The 19,256-nt window shown below is 50.0% G+C and overlaps 1 protein-coding gene across 42 annotated transcripts in view, besides 7 other annotated features; it reads left to right on the top strand.

Moving 5' to 3' along the window:
• Positions 538-727: a silencer, noted in NCBI's record as "silent region_20013". NCBI's record gives its function as "represses an Ori minimal core promoter by ATAC-STARR-seq in GM12878 lymphoblastoid cells {active_cell/tissue: GM12878}" and the evidence as "EXISTENCE:reporter gene assay evidence [ECO:0000049][PMID:35858748]".
• The window catches only part of SEMA4D (semaphorin 4D), a 137,327-nt gene continuing 118,697 nt past the window's right edge, over positions 627-19,256 (top strand). For 18 of the 42 annotated variants that reach the window (NR_163886.1, NR_163889.1, NR_163884.1 and 15 more), the window contains exon 1: positions 18,850-19,168. The gene's annotated coding sequence lies outside the window, so the exon portion shown is untranslated. Of the gene's footprint in view, positions 822-1,237; positions 1,366-3,083; positions 3,174-18,849; positions 19,217-19,256 lie in introns of those variants that run through there. The other 24 variants (XM_047422627.1, XM_047422624.1, XM_047422620.1 and 21 more) reach the window with 5 other exon arrangements.
• Positions 1,158-1,307: a silencer, noted in NCBI's record as "silent region_20012". NCBI's record gives its function as "represses an Ori minimal core promoter by ATAC-STARR-seq in GM12878 lymphoblastoid cells {active_cell/tissue: GM12878}" and the evidence as "EXISTENCE:reporter gene assay evidence [ECO:0000049][PMID:35858748]".
• Positions 12,138-12,207: an enhancer, noted in NCBI's record as "active region_28547". NCBI's record gives its function as "activates an Ori minimal core promoter by ATAC-STARR-seq in GM12878 lymphoblastoid cells {active_cell/tissue: GM12878}" and the evidence as "EXISTENCE:reporter gene assay evidence [ECO:0000049][PMID:35858748]".
• Positions 13,377-13,466: a silencer, noted in NCBI's record as "silent region_20011". NCBI's record gives its function as "represses an Ori minimal core promoter by ATAC-STARR-seq in GM12878 lymphoblastoid cells {active_cell/tissue: GM12878}" and the evidence as "EXISTENCE:reporter gene assay evidence [ECO:0000049][PMID:35858748]".
• Positions 13,477-13,556: a silencer, noted in NCBI's record as "silent region_20010". NCBI's record gives its function as "represses an Ori minimal core promoter by ATAC-STARR-seq in GM12878 lymphoblastoid cells {active_cell/tissue: GM12878}" and the evidence as "EXISTENCE:reporter gene assay evidence [ECO:0000049][PMID:35858748]".
• Positions 16,627-17,127: an enhancer, noted in NCBI's record as "H3K4me1 hESC enhancer chr9:92096528-92097028 (GRCh37/hg19 assembly coordinates)". NCBI's record gives its function as "activates a minimal SCP1, AML or CMV promoter by ChIP-STARR-seq in naive H9 embryonic stem cells {active_cell/tissue: H9 hESC(naive)}" and the evidence as "EXISTENCE:reporter gene assay evidence [ECO:0000049][PMID:30033119]".
• Positions 17,783-18,282: an enhancer, noted in NCBI's record as "H3K27ac-H3K4me1 hESC enhancer chr9:92095373-92095872 (GRCh37/hg19 assembly coordinates)". NCBI's record gives its function as "activates a minimal SCP1, AML or CMV promoter by ChIP-STARR-seq in naive H9 embryonic stem cells {active_cell/tissue: H9 hESC(naive)}" and the evidence as "EXISTENCE:reporter gene assay evidence [ECO:0000049][PMID:30033119]".

Here is a 19,256-nt window from a genome sequence, read left to right as displayed (position 1 = left end):
CTCCCCTGGGGAATGGGAGCAGCCTGGTGTGAAATATTCTTGCCCAAAGTCAGCAGCCAAGTGTTCTGGGTGCCACGTGCCTCACGCACACTGCAGGTCAGGTTCTCAGAAGAGCTGGCCCAGGGTCTGGGGGTGAAAAAAAACTGGGGGATTTGGGGGAGGCCTGGAAAGGGTGGGGTTCATCCAGGACCCCAGAAGGGGCAAGCTTGTCTATTGAGAGCTGGTGAGGAAGAGGGTGACAGGGCACCTCTTGGTCCTGGGAACGGGTGCTTGACTCAGCAGAGACCAACCCAGGGCTGAGGGACAACCCTCTGGGCCTGGCGGGGAGGCAAGAGAGATGGGAGGTGAGGAGGAAGGAGTGGGGAGCAAAAGTGGGGAGAAGGGGAGAGAGGTGGAAGAGTGTTGCGAAGGTGAAGAAAGAGGAGGAAAAAGAGAAGGGAGGAAAAGAAAGGTTGGGGGAGGGAAAGGAGGGAGGTGAGCAGGGGCGAGGAGGAGGGAGGAGGAAGGAGGAAGAAAGGGGCGGGGCCATAGGAGGGAAGAGAAGAAGGGGGAGAGGAAGGGGAAGGGAAAGGGGAGGAGGCGGGAAGGGAGGGGGAGCGGAGGAGGGGCCTGCGCGCCCGCCCCGCGCACTCCGTCCCCGCGCCGGCCTCAGCGCTCTCGCGCGCCGCAGCATCCCAGCCGCCGCTGCCGCCGCCGGGCCTCCCCGCCACCCCCTCCCCGGCCCGGCCGCCTCCCGCCGCTGCCGCCGCCGCCGCCGCCGCCATTCCTGGCGCCCGAACTCGCCCGGCCGGGAGCCGCCGCGGGCAGGACGCGCGCTGCAGGTAAGCGGCCGGGCTGGCGCGGGAGGGAGGGCGCGCGGGGCCGGGCAGGTGCGCTGGGGGCGGCCTGGACCCTCCGCGGAGCCCCCACTCCACACCCCTAGGCTCCTCACCGGACCCTCGGGGCCCTCCCCGAACCCCTGCAGGAGCCTCCTTCTGGGATCCCCGGACCCCTGGACTCCTTCCTGGATCCCCCCGGGGCCCCTCCTGGGACGCCTCCCAGAGACACCTACCCGGACCCCTCCGACCCCCTGGACCTCTCTGCTATCCCTCCCCGGCCTTCTCCCCTTCCCGGTTGCCTCCCCAGTCCCTGCGCGCAGGTGGCTCCTCTGGGCGCGGGGGAGCGGGGGCGCGCTGCATACCCGGGCCAGGGAGGGGGCGGTGCGCTCGGCCAGGCCCCGTCGCGCCCCGGCCCGCCCAGTCCGGCCCCGCCAGGTCAGGCCCCACTCCGGCCAGCCGGGCTCTGGCCGGGCCCCCGCGGGCTTCTATTTTGGTCGCGGAGGCCGCGGACCCTGTGCACTGGACCCGGCGCCGCGCACTCAGACAGGTGGGGCAGGTTGGGCCGCAGTGGTCAGGTCGCCGCCTTGGCAGTGAGTGCTGCAGGCCTCGGTTTCCTTTCGGGTTTTGGTTGCATTATTCTAGAACAGCCCAGGAGAACCACAAGCCTTAGCTTGGGCTGCACCTGTTGCAGCCGCCTAGTGAGCTGCAAGGGGCTGGCTCTACTGGGGTTATGCCAGTAAAAACGTGTAAAGGAGAGTTGAACTCGTGGTTGTCCTCTATTTTCTGGCTTAGTATTTTGGGGGGTAGGTGGGAGAGTGGGTGAATGGGAGTCTGTAAGTGGGCAGTTTGCGTCAAATGAGGCCTGGTGTCGAGGGCTGGGTCCTGCTTTCCGGAAGGTTTTCCACATGAAGTTGCTTTGCTTTTGTTTTGAAAACCTCACTCTGTGTTGAGCACATCCCAGGCTCGTGGGTGGCCAGGCCCCCGAAGGCCAAGCTGGACGTGGGGCCTGGGGCCAAGCATCTCACCCTGCTGTTCTGAGTCTTTTCAAATCCACCAGGCGCCACGGAACGGAAGTTTCCTTTCCTGGGGGTGACGTGACACCAGTGGCCTGTCACCTCATATGTGTCCTAGGCCTGGGGCCTGCCTGCTGGCTGCCCAGGCGAGGTTATTTGGGAATGTTTACTGTGTCCCAGAAACAGGCAGCTCTGGCCAGTGCAGGGGCAGGATTCTGGTAGAGATGATAATGCCCTGATTGTCATTTTGACAGTTGGTGTCTGCGTATATCATGTCTTGGTAGTCGTCAGCCAGAAGAAGAAAGCAGGCGGGCTCAGCATACCCACCAGGGAGGCTGGGGTGGGAAGATGAGGGATGCACTGGCCTGTTTCTGTGAGCAAAGACTGCCCTCCCATAAGGCCAGACCTTCAGACTGAGAAGAGTGTACGTGGTACACTCAGCGAGTCAAACAAAGAAATAGAAACACATCACTGGTGCCAGGAGCAGCCCTGGGGTCCCAGGAGGGTGGGCCGCTTAGGAGTTGGTAGACGGTGGAACTCAGTGGCTGTATTTCAGAGTGCAGACAGGCAAAAGGCCACCGTGGGGATGCAGAGCCCCAGCTGCCATGCCAGCCCAAGGTCTTGCAGCACAGCACAAGGGAGGGACTCCATGGGAGGGGGCCCACCTCCTGAGAAGCACACCCAGAGTCTGTTGAAAATGCAGCCTTGCACAGACCCCCCTGAGTGCCTGGGGTCCTGGGCTGAGGTTTAGAGTGCAAGACCAGCGACCATGTTGCATTTGATATCCAGTGGGTCTGGGGCCAGGGAGATGTCCTTGGTGACATCATCCACTTGTGGACAGTCCTCTCCATGTGGACCGCTGGAGGCAGATGTTACCTAGAGCCGCTTTCCCCACACCAAGCGGGTGTGTCTAGGCCAAAGCTTGGGAGTGCACGCTAATGGCCAGCTTTGACTGAGGAGGGAGGGAACGTCCGCTGCTGACAGCACAACAGCAAAATCAATAATGCATTGCAAAGATCAATGGTTTTCTCTATCTTCTGTGCTTCTGCATTGAGGCTGTTCAGGCTTCTGCCTCTCTTGGTTCCATTTCTGTTGGGGAGGGAGGGATGGGCGGGTCCAGGAGGGTGGTTGCAGATTCTCCTCCTGACCCCTGGAGCCAGAGCTCCAGGGTTGGAGCTAGGACCCATGGGGATGAAACTTGCCACGTGAAAATATAGAAATAAACGTGCCGTCGGCTGATTGTCGAGCCTAGTTGCTGAGAGAAAGGCTGCTGCCTGCTGTTCCCAACCAGGGCAGTTATTTCTTCTTTGAACTTGGACAATTCCAGGAAGAAGACTAGAAGGTGAGAAGGGAGGTGGCAGAGGCAGCTGGGGTGGGTCCTCTCTTCCCTGGGCCAGGGTCCGCCCTGGGCTTGGCAGGTGCAGTTCCTCAGCCCTGCCCATTGCATCCCCATCCCCATCACCATTGCCGTCCAGGGTCCAGGGCTGCTGGAGGAGATAGCTGCTGATTCAGTCAGGTGGAGAGGGTGTGCCAGGGCCTTCCCTGGAAGCTGGGTGGTGTTTTAGGTGCACTAGTTAAGGCGATCCTTGGGATAAGCAAATTGCTTTGCTGCTTGTGGGTCACTTTTCAGCTTCTGTGACCCTCCCTGAGCGAATTTGCCTTTAGCTGGGGGTGTCACAGCAGGGGCCCCAGCTTTCTACTGCCTTGCTGCTTCCCCTGGGGCATCAGCAGCCGCCTTCCCACAGCACCTGTGCAAACCTCAGTGGGGGGCAGGCAGGGTCCTGTTATTTGGTCCAGAAGTTTCAGATGCTGCCCATGAAAGCAATGACTGCATCCCTGCCCTGGATCACATCTAAGTGGCACCCCAAGATTTCTGGCTTCGATCAAAGCCTGATCCAGGCTGTCACTTGGATCAGCATTTGATCCAAGCATCACTCCTTTGAAAACTAGGCTATTGATGTGTCTCATGGACATTTGTGGAGTGAATGATGATTTTAAGGAATTCCTTAATCACAGCATCGTGGTTATGTTAGAATAACTTTCACCCTTTAGCAATAGATACTGAGTGTTGGTAGATGAAATGATGTTTGGGATCTGCCTCAGATTAGTGTGGGGTGGGGAAGCAGAGGGGATGAGAAGGGGCGAGATGGTCTGAGTGGACAGTTTGGGGTCTGGATGAGAGTACCTGGGTTCTTTGTTCTGTTCTGCCTACTTGCATGCACTTTGAAAATTCTCCATCATGAAAAGTTAATAATAATCGGAGATCTCCAATTCCTCCCTGTAAAACATGCCATTGGATTCTTTACTTCATGATGGCATCATTCAAAGGTTTACTTTAAAAGATATGCCAATCTATTAAGTAGAAATGTCACTCCTTAGTGTAGACTATAGAGAATGTGCCCTCTCCATGCACAAGTGCAGGCGCTCAGCACGGAAGCCCATCTGGAAGGACACACACCTGGTATTCAGCAGATCATTATGGAGCCGCCTATGTGGACCTGGTGCCAGGCGCTGCCCCAGGCTCTAGGGACTCAGCCCTGAGTGAAAGCAGCACTCCACAGTTAGCAAAGGGTGGGGCGTGTGTGAATGTGAGTGAGTGTGTGTTGGGGGAGGAGAGGGAAGAGGAAGAGGGAACCTATACTTTGTCTTCTTTTTGTACTTATGTATGGTTTGTTTCTGTTACAAGGAATTATTTTTGGAATATCAAAATGAATTTTCAAAAAGTGGTCTTCATTAGGTCATATACTTTCCTCTGGCGTTTTAAATAGAATTTGATTTGTGGAAGTTCATGTTTCTACACGTCTTAATAACAGATGAATTGGCTTCCATGAGGCAATCAATGAATCAATAGTTATTGATCCTCTGAATATGTGCTTTGTGGGCTATGAAGGATAGAAATCAATATGCTACTATCAGCATTAGGGGAGACAAGACAAAGACCCTGACAATTAAATAATAGTACAATCCAGCCACAGAAGGGTTATCCTTACACTCAGTACAGAAACAAAGGCCAAGTCTGGTCTGGAGCCTGCGCCAGAGGGGTCCCCATTGCTGGTTGGCTGACCTGGACCTGGGGCTTGTTCCAGCATTTCCTGTGGTGTCTTTGTTTTCTTCTTCCATTTAGTAAAGGATATGTTAAGTAACCTAAAGCTATAGCAAAAACATAAGTGATGCGTGCTGCATAGAAGTCTACAAAGTAAAAAGTAGAAATTGCTTAGAATTGTAACAGTTTTTGTATTTTCCTGATCTGTTGCAAGAAATTAGAGTTGCTTGAGCAGCCAGAACGTAATTTGCCTTGATGTAGAATGTGGGTGTTTGTTAGGCCTTCTGATTTGTGTGTGTGTTTTGACTTTGTTTGGAAGGACAGAAAGTTTCCCGTTAGGCCTGCAATTGACCCACTTGGTTCTCACTGTGAGTTTAGGAGCTTTTGTTTGTTGTTGTTCCTGACCGGTGTGTCCCATGTGCTGTGAGGGCACAGCCCAGTGCTGCAGCAGGGCTGTGGCGGGGCTCTGAGCCCTGGGCCATCTTTGAGGGCTGAGGGTCTTGGCACATGTTCATTGTTGTGCTGCCAGGAGCCGCCTGCCTTTGCGCCTGCACAGAACCACCCAGTGGGTGGATGCACATTCTTTTCCCCCATCTGGATCACACTTATCCTGTATAGCCCCCTCCTTCTGAGGGCCCACAAGGAGCTGAGCCATCTGGGCAGGTCACAGTGCTGGCACGTTTGGTCCCTGGTGGGTGATGCTCCTTTGTCTTAGGTTCCTGACCTGAAGGAACTGCTTACCTTTCAGGGCCCTCCCAACTCTTGCACTTGTCCACTTGATGAAGTTTCACTGCTTCCCCAGAAAACACGTATTGAATGTCAGTCATGGCTGGGGTGCCGGGGAATATGGTCAAGTGGAGGGAGATGGGAGGCTAATGAGAGGGGAGATAGATAGTTCTAGGTCCAGCCGCTTAAGGGGCCAGTGGTTTGTTGAGAGGGTGGTTGTGATTTAAAATCAGGTGGCCCCTGTGCCTTGCTGAGCCCTAGATGTAGGGGAGGTGAGGAGTGGTGAGGGGACACTTAGGCACACATGAGCAATGGTAGGAGGGCGGTGCGGGGCGGGCCTTGCAGGAGCTCGGGCAGTCTCCTCGGGTGGGAGGCAGGCTGATTGCAGGTGTTCTGCGAAGACGGAGCCAACAGGACTGTGATGGATCCCATGAGGGCTGTTGCAGCAAGCAAGGGGTCCAGGATGACCCAAGAGTCTTGGATCGGGTGTTGGAAGGGTAGAGTTGCCATCACTCTGAGACTGAGGTCTTCAGGGGAGGAGTTGTGAGGATTCAGAGGGATGGTGTGGCTCTCAAGATAGTACAGGTGAGAGTCCTACTGAAGTGTCCCAGTGGAGGTGGGGAGGAGGAAGTTGGAGGAAGGGATCTGGAGTTTGGGGGAGTGCTCTGAGCTGGGACCCTAATCTTGGCAATATATTGTAGCTATAGAGATGACATTTTGAAAGGGAGTTTGGATGAGACCACTAGGGAGTTGAGGTAGATGGAAAAGAGAAGAGGTCCGAGGACTGAGCCTGGAACAAGAAACCAAGAAGGTGCGGCCAGCGAGGTAGGGGATAACCAGAGGGTTCTGAGGGCATCCTGGAGGCCACATGCAGCTTGCATGAGAGGGAGGGTGACAGCGGAGGTCACGAAGGTGAGAACCGAAGACAACCTGGGGTTTATCCATGTGGTCTGGGATGGTGGGCTGAAGTATGGGGTGAGTTTCTTGAGAGAAGGAAGGAGGGGAATTTGGGACAGCAGGACCCTATTGCTTTTTCAAGAATTTTGCTGCCGTGAAGGGCAGTGGGGAAGTGGAGGGGGGTCATGGGCAGATAGGGCTGAGGGAGGCCCGCTTGGAAGGGTTGCATCCTGAAGAGAAGGATGGAGCAGAGTGGGAGGAAGCCGTGAGGTGGGTGGGAGGGACAGAGACTGGCTGGGGCCGCCCCTTTGGTGAAGGATCCCCATGAGCTGCTGTTGACTCTCGGTGTGTGCTGTGCCTCCTCTTGGCCCCGGGGCCCACAGATGCATGGGGCTGTCCCATCGCTGGTGGACTGTGAGCATTTTCCTCATCACCTTAGTGAGTGCTGGCATTGTCTCCAGGCCGGGCAGGGATGGCCTGCATTTTGCCTGCAACACTGACTCTCAGTTCCACATGGACTGAACGCTGGAGGAATGGGAGTGTGCTTCTCTGAGAGTGGTCCCCGCACCAGCGGCATTGCACCCCTGGGAAATGCAGAGTCTCCCTGGCATCTGGAACTGTGGGGTGGGACCAGCCATCTGTTTGTTGTTGTTGTTGTTGTTGTTGTTGTTTTTGAGACAGAGTCTTGCTCTGTCGCCAGGCTGGCATGCAGTGGTGTGATCTCAGCTCACTGCAACCTCTGCCTCGTGGGTTCAAGCCATTCACCTGCGTCAGCCTCCTGAGTAGCTGGGACTACAGGCACACGCCACCATGCCCGGCTAATTTTTTGTATTTTAGTAGAGACAGCGTTTCACCATGTTGGCCAGGATGGTCTCGATCTCCTGAGCTCAGGTGATCCACCCTCCTCGGCCTCCCAAAGTGCTGGGATTACAGGTGTGAGCCACGGTGCCCAGACTCAGCCATCTGTTTTAACAGGCTCCCCAGAGGCTTTTGAACTGCTGCCCTAAGACAGGCCCACACTTGGGAGTGGGTGGGACAGGCCCATGGGGAGAAAGTAGCGGTCCCCAGGTTGGATGCACCTTAGACTTGGGGTGCTTTCCACGTGGAGTCCCACTAGAGGCAATGCTGTCCTACTCAGTTTTATTGACATGAATTATGACAAAATGTATTCACTTCAAACACAGCTAACTGAGTTTTGACACATGTAGATAGCCATGTGACTGACACCATAATCAGGATATAGACCAGGATTTGGTAAGCTTGGGCCTGCAGGTCAAGTGTGCTGGGCCAATTTATTTCGAATCATCTGTGGCTGCTTTTATGCTATTGCAGCAGAGGTGAGCAGTTGCCACAGAGACCATATGGCCCTGAGAATCCCCCTAAATTTCCCTGTTGCCCCTTTTCACTCAACCCCCTCTTCCCAGCAATTACTGATCTGCATAGATTAGATTATTATAGATTGGATTTATTTCTTCAATACTTTCAAAGTGGGAGCATATATTTGACAGTTGCTCCTAGACCTGTGATGGGATTACATCCTAATCATAAACCCATCATTAAGTTGAAGATATCCTAAGTCAAAAATGTGTTTGATACACCTGACCCGCCCAAAAGCATACCTTAGGCTAGCCCACCTTCAGCGTGCACAGAACACTTATATTAGCCTACCGTTGGGCAGAGTCATCTAACACAAAGCCTTTTTTATAATAAAGTGTTGAATATAATTTATTGAATGCCACACTGACAGTGAAAAGCAGAATGGTTGTGTGGATACTCGCAGTACCGTTTCTACTGGATTCGAATGGCTTTCACACCATTGTAAAGCCAAAAAATCATAAATGAAACCATTGTAAATGGGGGACCATCTGCATACTCTTTTGTCTAGCTCCTTTCACTCTGCATAATGTTTTTTAGATTCTTACATGTTGCTGTGCATACCGGCACTTGATGTCTTTTTATTGCTGAATAGTTGGTGGAAGTTTGAATTGTTTCCTCTTCTGGGTTTATTGTGAATCAAAGTGCTGGGAGCTACAACTCAACCACAAAAACTGCCAGTTAAAACATGGGTAAATGTGTCAATAAAGGTGATTTACAAACGGCCAATAAACATGCGAGAAGGTGCTTAACATCATTAGTTGTTAGGGAAATGTGAATCAAAGCCACAGTGAGATACCATCTCGCACCCTACTAGCTTTAATTAAAAAAAAAAAAAGGAGGGTGGAGGGAAATAACAAGCGTAGGTGAGGTTATGGAGAAATTAGAACCCTCATACACTCCGGATAGAAATGTAAAATGGTGTAGCTGTTTTGGAAAAAAGTTTGGAGATTCCTCAAAAAGTTAAATACAGAATTACCATATGACCTAGCACTCCCACTCCTACGTATATACCTAAAAGAATTGAAAGCAGGGACTCACACAAAAACTTATACACGGCTGTTCACAGTGGCACTATTCCAGTAGCCAAAGGACGGAAACCCAGATGTCCAGCAGTGGATGAATGGGTAAGCTAAATGTGGTATATTCATACATGGCCTATGATTCAGCCATAAAAAGGAGTGAAGCGCTGATACATGCTACAATGTGAATTCACCTCAAAAACATTATTCTAAGTGAAGGTAGCCAGGCACAGATTAATAGCTGCATATTGTATTATTTCATTGATATGAAATGTTCAGAATGGGCAGATCTTTCCAGACAGAAAACACGTTAGTGGTTGCCAGGAGCTGGGGAGGTGGGGGAATGGGAAGTGAACACTTAATATGCATTGGGGTTCCTTTTGAGGTCCTGGAACTAGATAGGGGTGATGGTTACATAACATTGCGAATGTACTAAATGCCACTGGATTATACGCTTTAAAATGGTAAATTTTATCTTACGAGTATTTTACCACAATAAAAGATGATATAAGACATGCTGTGAGCATTCGTGGGCAAATCTTAGCGTGGACATATGTTTTTATTTCTCCTGCGTAACTACCTACAAGTGGAATTACAGGGTTTCATGGTAAGTAGATGTTTAACTTGATTAAAAATCTGGCAAACTGCTTTGCAAAGCAGTTGTATCATTTTACGTTCCCACTGCTAACGCATGAGAGTTGCAGTTGGTTTACGTCTGTGCCAACACTTGCTGTTGTCAGTCTTATTAATTTTAGCTATTCTAGTGGAAATGTGGTAGTGCTGTATCTGTGCAGTTTTAGTTGAGCGTCTTTTCATGTGCTTATTAGCTATTTGTGTATATTCTTTTGTGAAGTGTCTGTTCAGATCTTTTGATCACTTTTTAATTGGGTTGTCTTCTTATATGTGAGTTGTAGGTGTTCTTTACATATTCTTGACTCAAACCTTTTGTCAGATACTTGTATTGCAAATATTTTCTCTCAGTCTATGGCTTGCCTTTTTATCCGTTATATCTTTCAATGGGCAGACTTTTTGGTTTTAAGTTGTTTTAATGGTTTGTGCTTTTTGTACCCTATTTAAGAAATCTTTGTCTAATCCATAGTGATAAAGATTATCTGTGTTTTCTTCTGAAAATGTGGTAATTTTAGCTTTTATGTTTAGATCTGAGATCCATTTTGGTTGGGCGTGGTGGCTCACGCCTGTAATCCCAACAGTTCGGGAGGCTGAGGTGAGTGGAACACCTGAGGTCAGGAGTTTGAGACCAGCCTGGCCAATATGGTGAAACCCTGTCTCTACTAAAAGTACAAAAATTAGCCGGATGTGATGGTGCACGTATGTAATCCCAGCTTCTTGGGAGCCTGAGGCAGGAGAATCACTTGAACCTGGGAGGCGGAGGTTGCAATGAGCTGAGATCGCACCATTGCACTCCAGCCACTCCAGCCTGTGTGACAGAGTGAGACTCTGTTCTCAAAAAAAAAAAAAAAAAAAAAAAAAAAAGATCTGTGATCCATTTCGAGTTAATTTTTAATGGAAAGAGCTAAGGATTGAGGTTCATTGTTTTACATGTAGACTTCCGATTGTTCTCACACCATTTGTTTTAAAGTAAACAACAACAGCAAGCCTCTTCTTTCTCCAGTGAATTATGTTGATACCATGTTTGTAAAGTAATTGACCATATCTGTGTGCCTTTGTTTCTGGATTCTGTTCTGTTCCATTATGGCTTATTCCTCATAGGTCCCAGTATCACACTGTCTCTGTAGTAACTCCTGAAGTCAGGTAGCATGACAATTTTGCTTCATTTTCAAAATTGTAGTGTCGGTTCTAGATCCTTTGCATTTTCTTATATACTTAAGATCAGTTTGTCAGTTTCTACAGCAAGCCTGCTTGGATTTTGGCCAGAATTGTATTAACTCCTTAGATCAATTTGGGAAAAAACATTGTAACAATATTTGGTCTCTTGACCAATGAGCATGGAATCTCCCTCTATTTTCATCTTCCTTTATTTCTTTCAGCAGTGTTTTGTAGTTTTGAGTGTACAGGTCTTGCACATGTTTTATCAGATTTACTCATAAGTATTTCATATTATTATACATGGATTTTAAAAATTTTATTTTCCAGTTGTTAATTGCGATATATAGAAATACAATTGATTTTTTCTATTTTTTGTTTATCCTGTGAACCTTGCTAAGTCGCTATTTAAGTAGCTTTTTTTGTAGTCCCTCAAGATCTTTCATATAGATAATTCTGATGATTATGAATAAAGACCAGTTTCTTTCCAGTTAGAATGCCTTTTACTCCTTTTTCTTCTTTTCTTTCACTTCTAGGACTTTCAGTACAATGATTAATAGAAGTGATAAAAGTGGACATTCTTGCCTGTTCCCAATATCAGGAAGGAAGAATTTCAAGTTTTGTTGTTGTTGTTGTTAAGTATGATGTTAGGTAAAGATATGAAGTGCCTTTTACAAGGCGGTGGAAGTTTTTTAATTTGTTGAGAGCTTTTATCATGAGTAGGTGTTGAATTTCCTCATATACTTTTTCTGTATCTGTTGAGATGATCATAGGGTTTTTCATTTTTTGTTTGTAAATATGGTGAATTACACTGGTTAACTTTTGAATGTTAAATCATTCTTGCATTTCTGGCACAAATCCCACTTGGTAATTATGTATCTTTTTTATATATTTGTTTTATATATTATATATATATATTTATATATTGCTGGATTTGATTTGCTGCAATTTTATTAAGGATATTTGTGGCTATGTCATGAGGGATATTGTTTTCTTTTCTGGTACTGTATTTTATATTGGTATCAAAGTAAAGTTTGCCCCACACAATGATTTGAGAAGTGGTTCCTCTTACTATTTTTGAATAGTCTTTGTAGGATTGGGCTTCTCTTGCCCTCCCCTCCCCTTCCCTTCCTTTCCCTTTTTGGAGACAAGGTCTCACTGTGTTGTCCAGGCTGGAGTGCAGTGGTACAATCATAGCTCAATCATAGCTCACTGCAGCCTTGACTTCCTGGGCTCAAGTGATCTTCCTGCCTCAGCCTCCAGAGTAGCTGGGACTACAAGCATACACCACTATGCCTGGCTAATTTTTTTGAATTTTAGCAGAGACAGAGTTTCACTATGATTCCCAGGCTGGCCTTGAATTCCTAACCTCAAGCCATCTTCCCGCTTTGGCCTTCTGAAGTGCTGAGCTTACAGGTGTGAGCCACTGTGCCCAGCCTGTCTGGGGTTTTCTTTATGGAGAGGCTTTTAATTATGAATTCAATTCCTTAACATAGGACTATGAAGATTTTCTGTTTCTGTTTGAGTCAGTTCTGGTTATTTGTGTGATTTATTGAGCTATAATTTTATATACAGTGAAATCTTTCCTGTTAAATGTACCATTCTGTGAGTTTTGGTTAATGCATGTGGTTTTGGTAAATATAACCATACCAAATCATTTCCACACCAAATCAAGGTATGGAAAATTTTCATAACTCCAAAAATTCCGTCTTGTGCCCCTTTGTAGTCAGTTTCCTTTCCCCAGACCTAGCAACCACTGACCTGTTTTCCATCCCTCTAGGCTTTTCCAGAATTTCATATAGAAGGAATTATACAGATTGTAGCCTTTGAGTCTGGCTTCTTTCACTCAGCATAATTATGCAGGTATTTGAGCAGTAAATAAAGCAATCAGATCGATGTCTCAGGAGTAACTCTGGCATTTCAGAGTGATGAATTGGAAAGACAGATTGGAAACAAGGGAAAGAAGTTATGGGACAAGAATGCTAGATGACGTTCATGGTGACCTTGTTATAAATGATATGCCAAACTCTATCCGTCTCATGGAGTTCTGACCACAGTCCTGTAAGACTGGGTCAGTTCTCCCCTCTTGTTTACAGGTGAGAACAGAGAGAATAAGAATGTTATTCTTGAAGCCGCTCAGCCAAGAAGTGGTGAAGCCAGGAGTTGTGATTCGATGCTCTATACTGAGGTCCAGCATCTAATGCATGCACTAGGAGGTGGCAGTTGGTTAGTGGTTTTTTTTTTTTCTTTTTTTTTTTTTTTTTTTTTTTTTTGAGATGGAGTTTTGCTCTTGTTGCCCAGGCTGGAGTGCAATGGTGCAATCTTGGCTCACTGCAACCTCTGCCTCCCAAGTTCAAGTGATTCTCCTGCCTCAGCCTCCCAAGTAGCTGGGATTACAGGCATGCGCCACCATGCCCGGCTAATTTTGTATTTTTAGTAGAGATGGGGTTTCTCCATGTTGGTCAGGCTGGTCTTGAACTCCCGACCTCAGGTGATCCTCCCGTCTTGGCCTCCCAAAGTGCTAGGATTACAGGTGTGAGCCACCGTGCCCAGCCCGGTTAATGTTTTAAAGATTTTAAGGCACATGTACCCTTTGGCCATTGGAGTCTGAATGAGCTAGACATTTATTTAAAGAATCATGAATGTTAAGAAGCATTTATTGAAAAGGGTGTTTCTCAGTGTTTATAAATAGAAAATCCAGATATAACCTGGGCAGCTACTGACAGTGAAATAGTTAGGCAGGATGTGCCATAGTAACATTGGTCACTCTTTGAAAATCTAGTGTAAAATATGCCTAATGAGATGAGAAGTCAGCATAATACATCATGTGTTAAGAACAGTTTGTGAACCAACATGCATGGCAAGGACTTACAATTGCCTAGAAAGCACTAGACCATGTCCAAAATGCGAGTCAGATGTTTAGTTGATGACGTGCCTTCTGTTTTCTCCTTGGTGCTTGTCTACATTTCTCTGATTTTCTGCAACAATACTTGTTATGGAAATCACAAAGGAGAAATACAAAGGAAAAGGTTGAAAAATGTAGCTCTGGAACACACACACACACACACACACAACATACTACACACATATGCCTCCACCACCCACCCAGTACACACACACCAAACAACACACACATACACATCACACCACACACCCCATACCACACACTACACACATACCCCCCACACCACAAACACCCAGTATACACACATTACACACACACCACACAATACATCCACACACCACACACCCACCACACAATACATCCACACACCACACCACACATTCCCCATACCACACACTTCACACATACCTGCCACACCACACACACATAACACACAACACATCCATACACCACATCACATACCACACACACAGCCACCACACTACATACACACACCACACCACACACACACTACATATATACTGCATACATACACCGCACATCACACCACGGAACACCCCATACTACACACATACCCCACCATGTATACACACACCATACACGTACCTCCCCACCCCACACACCCAGTCCATACACACCACACACACTACACAAACCCACCACGTGGTACATACACATACCATGCCACACACACACACAAAACACACACAACACACACTGTACACATACACACCACACACACCACACATCAAACCCCACACATAACACCACACAGTCATATGCTGCACGTGCCGCAGCACACACAGCACACACATACCCCGTATGCATCGGAGTCTTGAGAGCTTTGCACACTTTTCCTAGACTGGTCATGCGTGCCTTGTTCCCAGAGCAGGTGGGTGTTTTGCAGCTTGTTCTGCTCCTAAAGGGCATGCAGGCAGTGAAGCTGGCCGGCCCCTCGCTTGCCTCTCCCAGATGCAGCCCAGCTGCAGGTGGGCCTGCAGGGCGGGGTGGCCGCGGCGTCCTCTTTAAGGCTCCAGTTCCTGGGGGAGCCCGGAAGCCCTTCTGTGCCTGCCAGCTTGTGCGCAGCCTCAGTGGGGCCCGCCCTCTTCCTTAGTGGGGTTGTCCCTCAGTGGTTGTTGGGGGACTGTAGGATTATTAAATGAGATGACTCCTGTAATATCCCTTCTTGCCCACGTTTGAACTGAGATGCATGTGGAATTCAGTGTTATGTTTGAAACCAAGCCTCAGGAAGGTTTCAGTGCATGGACCATATTGCTAAAACATTTTTTATTACAATACAAAAGCTTCTTGACCATCAGGCAGCCTGGCTGTGTGGGTGTCTCATGCCTGGCTGGCTTCAGACGCTGACAGTGACCCACATGCATTTTATATTGTGAGGCAGCACACGCACACACACACAGCACACAGATGCACACATGCCAGTAAGTTTTGCTCATAACAGCCGCCCTTAACTATCTGTGACACCCCCTGATATTTTTATTTGATTATATTTGTTGAAAAACTGTGTTTGCAACCCCCAGATTGAGAACTACTGACCCCCATGTGACATCTGGCCCTATGTGTAACTGCATGGAAATGTAAAAATTTTAGCGTGACGTCAATGTGTGTACACTATGTATTATTATCTTATTTCTCACGTTGGCTGACTTTGACCATGTACTCCTCTACCGCTTGATTTTCCTCTCAGTGAGGCTAATCCCCACATTTCTGGGGCTGGACATGCCTTAGAGCCTTCAGCACAGTGCCTACCCCAGGGGCTGGTGTTGGACCGCAAGCCTGAGAACAACAGGGCAGGAAAACTGGGTCAAAGCAGAGCTCTTGAGCAGGTGGAATTGGATATCTAGCTTGTCTTTGAATGCTGAGGGCAGTGGCTTGGGTTTCAAATGTGGAATCCTGGGAAGCCGCCTGGCTCCCTTGGTCTTGCCTGTAAGCAGCGGCTGCGTCCTGGATGTTCTGTGGGGCTGAGGTCTCTCTGTGCAGGGATCTGCCATCCTCATGTTCCAGTTCCTTCCACAAGAGCACGGTTGGAGCAGGGCTTGGTTTTTGCCAGCTTGGCGAAACCAGAGAGGTGGTGAGAAGGCGATTTTTAAAATAGACACCAGTCGCTGCAGGACCTGGAATCAAGCCTTCGGGGAGATACAGACTCCATTTATTTACAAGTAACCGCTCTGTGACTCCAGCCAGTGGGCACAGGTTTTATTTCAACTGGAAGAGAGTGTCATTTAATAATTAGCACATTTAGGGCTGCAGAAGGGATAGATGGCTTAGCACAGATGTCTCGCGGTGGAAATGAAGGAGCCCTGAGAATGCAGACATGCTCTCTCCCCTTTCTCTTTTCTCAGCGAGGAGACCATGCTCAGGCCACAGTGGCATTCTCTAAATAAGTGATGGTGTCATCTGGAGACTTCCACTGAGACATTTTGTGTCAGGACTACTCTGAAGCCTTTTCAAGCACTTACATTGTAGTTGCTACAGACGGAAAAACACTTTGCCAAGCACAGCCTTATTCATGAATTGTGTCAGGCCGGGAGTCCGTTCCTGCTGGTGTCACCCTCCCCAAACTGCTGGGCTGGGGGCCCTCTCCTTGCTGCTGGAGGAGGCAGAGTGTGCCTCCTGCTGCACAGGAGACATTTGCTACAGTGCAGTTATCCTGAGCTTTGCGGGGCCTTCTGCTGCTGGGGCTGAGAATGGCTGGGAGGCTTCCCTGAGGATCAGAGCTGTTGCTGATGCCTGTGTAAACCGTAACGAGTGTGGCCCGTGCTGTTCTTTGCGTTGTGACTCTTCCAAGTGCCTGTCTGATCAGAGCTGACATGAAGAGCAGATTCCATGGTCTGAGACTCTGGCCTCGTGGTCGTCAGAGTGATCCAGGTGTGGCCTGCTTGGTGGCCTTGCTGGTGCACATTCTCTGTGGACGTGTCCCAGGAGGGCAGTAGGATACAGCCAGCCAGTGGATGGTGGACATTGCAAGTGCTCTGACCGCTGTGAGCTGGTTGGTCCTCAACTGGCTTTGCTGCCTTCTTCTTAGAGCAGCTGGGTCGGCTCCATGGCCCACTACTTTGCAGTGGATCCCCTCACCCGTCTGGGCGGTGACCCCTCTCCCTGCCTCCTTTCCCCTCTTGGAGTCAAGGGAAGGTCATCGACAGGAAGCAGCAGCAGCGAAACCCTCTCACCAGGTTTGCTGTTTTCATCTTTCCATCTCCTCCTTCCTTCTGCAGTGAGATATTTGCAGAATTTACTGTGAAGCACACCTAGCCTCAGTGTGCGGCCCTTGAATCTTCACAAATGGAGCCAGCCCTGCGATGCCTGGGAAGAGGAGCAGAGCACAGGGCCCTGGGGCCCCCTGCTCACCACTCCCCAGCTGATCACAGCGCAGGTTAATCTTGGCTGGCTTGAGTCTGTGTGCCTTGGGTTCTGCAGCACATCCTCGTGCGTGTCACTCAGCATCCGTCTGTGACATTTGGCTTGAGCTCACCCAGGGTCTTCTTCTCTTGCCTTGCCACCACGTATTCCGGTGTGTGTGTCTGCCACAATTTAGGCACATTTATATCCGCCACGGGTGTCTGCTGCCCTCTCGGCTTCCAGTTTGAGGCTGTTAGGAATGATATTTTGAACATCCTTGCACACAGGCTGTGTTTTAGCCTTTTATTGTCCTTTCAGGACACCAAGGGCCCTCCAGTTCTTATGGCTCCACTTCCTGGGGCAGGTCTTGTCTCCGTGGTGGCACCTGTGGTTTAATTTTGTCTCAGACCTCCCACGTGGCACCCTGTTTCCAGTCCTGCTGTGAACCCTCTCCTCTGAGAAGGGGCCCCTGAACCAGCTCCTGTTGCTTGCTGATGGGCCCCGCCTCCCTCGCTGGACCCTCGGGGGTCTCTCCAGCTGTCCCCTCTGTGCATCCCACCCCACCGCCACCTGCTCACCAAGGCCAGGTGGGCACGTCCCTGTCATTCCTAACATGGTGTTTTTCAGCTTCACAGTTTCTGTCTCTGGCTGCACAGGGTCCACTCAATCTGCTGCCATCTACCCCTCGGAGAGCATGCAGTGCCTGCCTAGTGTGTCCCAGGTTCTGGGATGGCAGTGAGAGGTTGGGGGTTGGAGGAGAATGGACAAGACGTGTTACTTTTAGCGGGAGAAGGATGTGTGTATGTACTGATAGTGAGAGGTGACAGCGTGCTAGCAGTCCTCAGAGCCCTCGCTTGCTCTCGGCACCTCCCCTGCCTGGGCTCCCACTTTGGCGGCATTTGAGGAGCACTTCAGTCCCCCACTGCACTGTGGGAGCCCCTTTCTGGGCTGGCCAAGGCCGGAGCCCACTCCCCCAGTTTGTAGGGAGGTGTGGAGGGAGAGGCAGGAGCGGGAACAGGGGCTGTGTGCGGCACTTGCGGGCCAGCTGGAGTTCCGGGTGGGCGTGGGCTTGGTGGGCCCCGCACTCGGAGCAGCCAGCCAGCCCTTCTGGCCCCGGGCAATGGGGGACTTAGCACCCGGGCCAGTGGCTGCGGAGGGTGTACTGAGTCCCCCAGCAGTGCTGGCCCACCGGCGCTGTGCTCGATTTCTCACCGGGCCTTGACTGCCTTCCCACGGGGCAGGGCTCGGGACCTGCAGCCCGCCATGCCTGAGCCTCCCACCCACTCCATGGGCTCCTGTGCGGCCCGAGCCTCCCCGACGAGAGCCACCCCCTGCTCCACGGCGCCCAGTCCCATCGACCACCCAAGGGCTGAGGAATGCGAGCGCACGGCACAGGACTGGCAGGCAGCTCCACCTGCAGCCCCGGTGCGGGATCCACTAGGTGAAACCAGCTGGGCTCCTGAGTCTGGTGGGGACGTGGAGAGTCTTTATATCTAGCTCAGGGATTGTAAATACACCAATCAGCACCCTGTGTTTAGCTCAAGGTTTGTGAGTGCACCAATCGACACTCTGTATCTAGCTGCTCTGGTGAGGACGTGGAGAACCTTTATATCTAGCTCAGGGATTGTAAATACACCAATCAGCACCCTGTGTTTAGCTCAAGGTTTGTGAGTGCACCAATCGACACTCTGTATCTAGCTGCTCTGGTGGGGCCTTGGAGAACCTGTGTGTGGAAACTCTGTATCTAACTAATCTGATGGGGACGTGGAGAACCTTTCTATCTAGCTCAGGGATTGTAAACGCACCAATCAGCGCCCTGACAAAACAGGCCACTCGGCTCTACCAATCAGCAGGATGTGGGTGGGGCCAGATAAGAGAATAAAAGCAGGCTGCCCGAGCCAGCATTGGCAACCCGCTCGGGTCCCCTTCCACACTGTGGAAGCTTTGTTCTTTCGCTCTTGCTACTGCTAGCTCTTTGGGTCCACGCTGCTTTTATGAGCTGTAACACTCACCGCGAAGATCTGCAGCTTCACTCCTGAGCCCAGCGAGACCACGAGCCCACCGGGAGGAACGAACAACTCCAGACGCGCTGCCTTAAGAGCTGTAACACTCACCGTGAAGGTCTGCAGCTTCACTCCCGAGCCAGCGAGACCACGAACCCACCAGAAGGAAGAAACTCTGAACACATCTGAACATCAGAAGGGACAGACTCCAGACGCGCCACCGTAAGAGCTGTAACACTCACCGCGAGGGTCCACGGCTTCATTCTTGAAGTCAGTGAGACCAAGAACCCACCAATTCCGGACACAATAG

The sequence above is a fragment of the Homo sapiens genome, chromosome 9 (assembly GCF_000001405.40).
Source record: "Homo sapiens chromosome 9, GRCh38.p14 Primary Assembly".
Taxonomy (NCBI): Eukaryota; Metazoa; Chordata; class Mammalia; order Primates; family Hominidae; genus Homo; species Homo sapiens.
The sequence above is the reverse complement of the archived record's forward strand: the minus strand, read 5'-3'. Positions and strand labels throughout refer to the sequence as shown.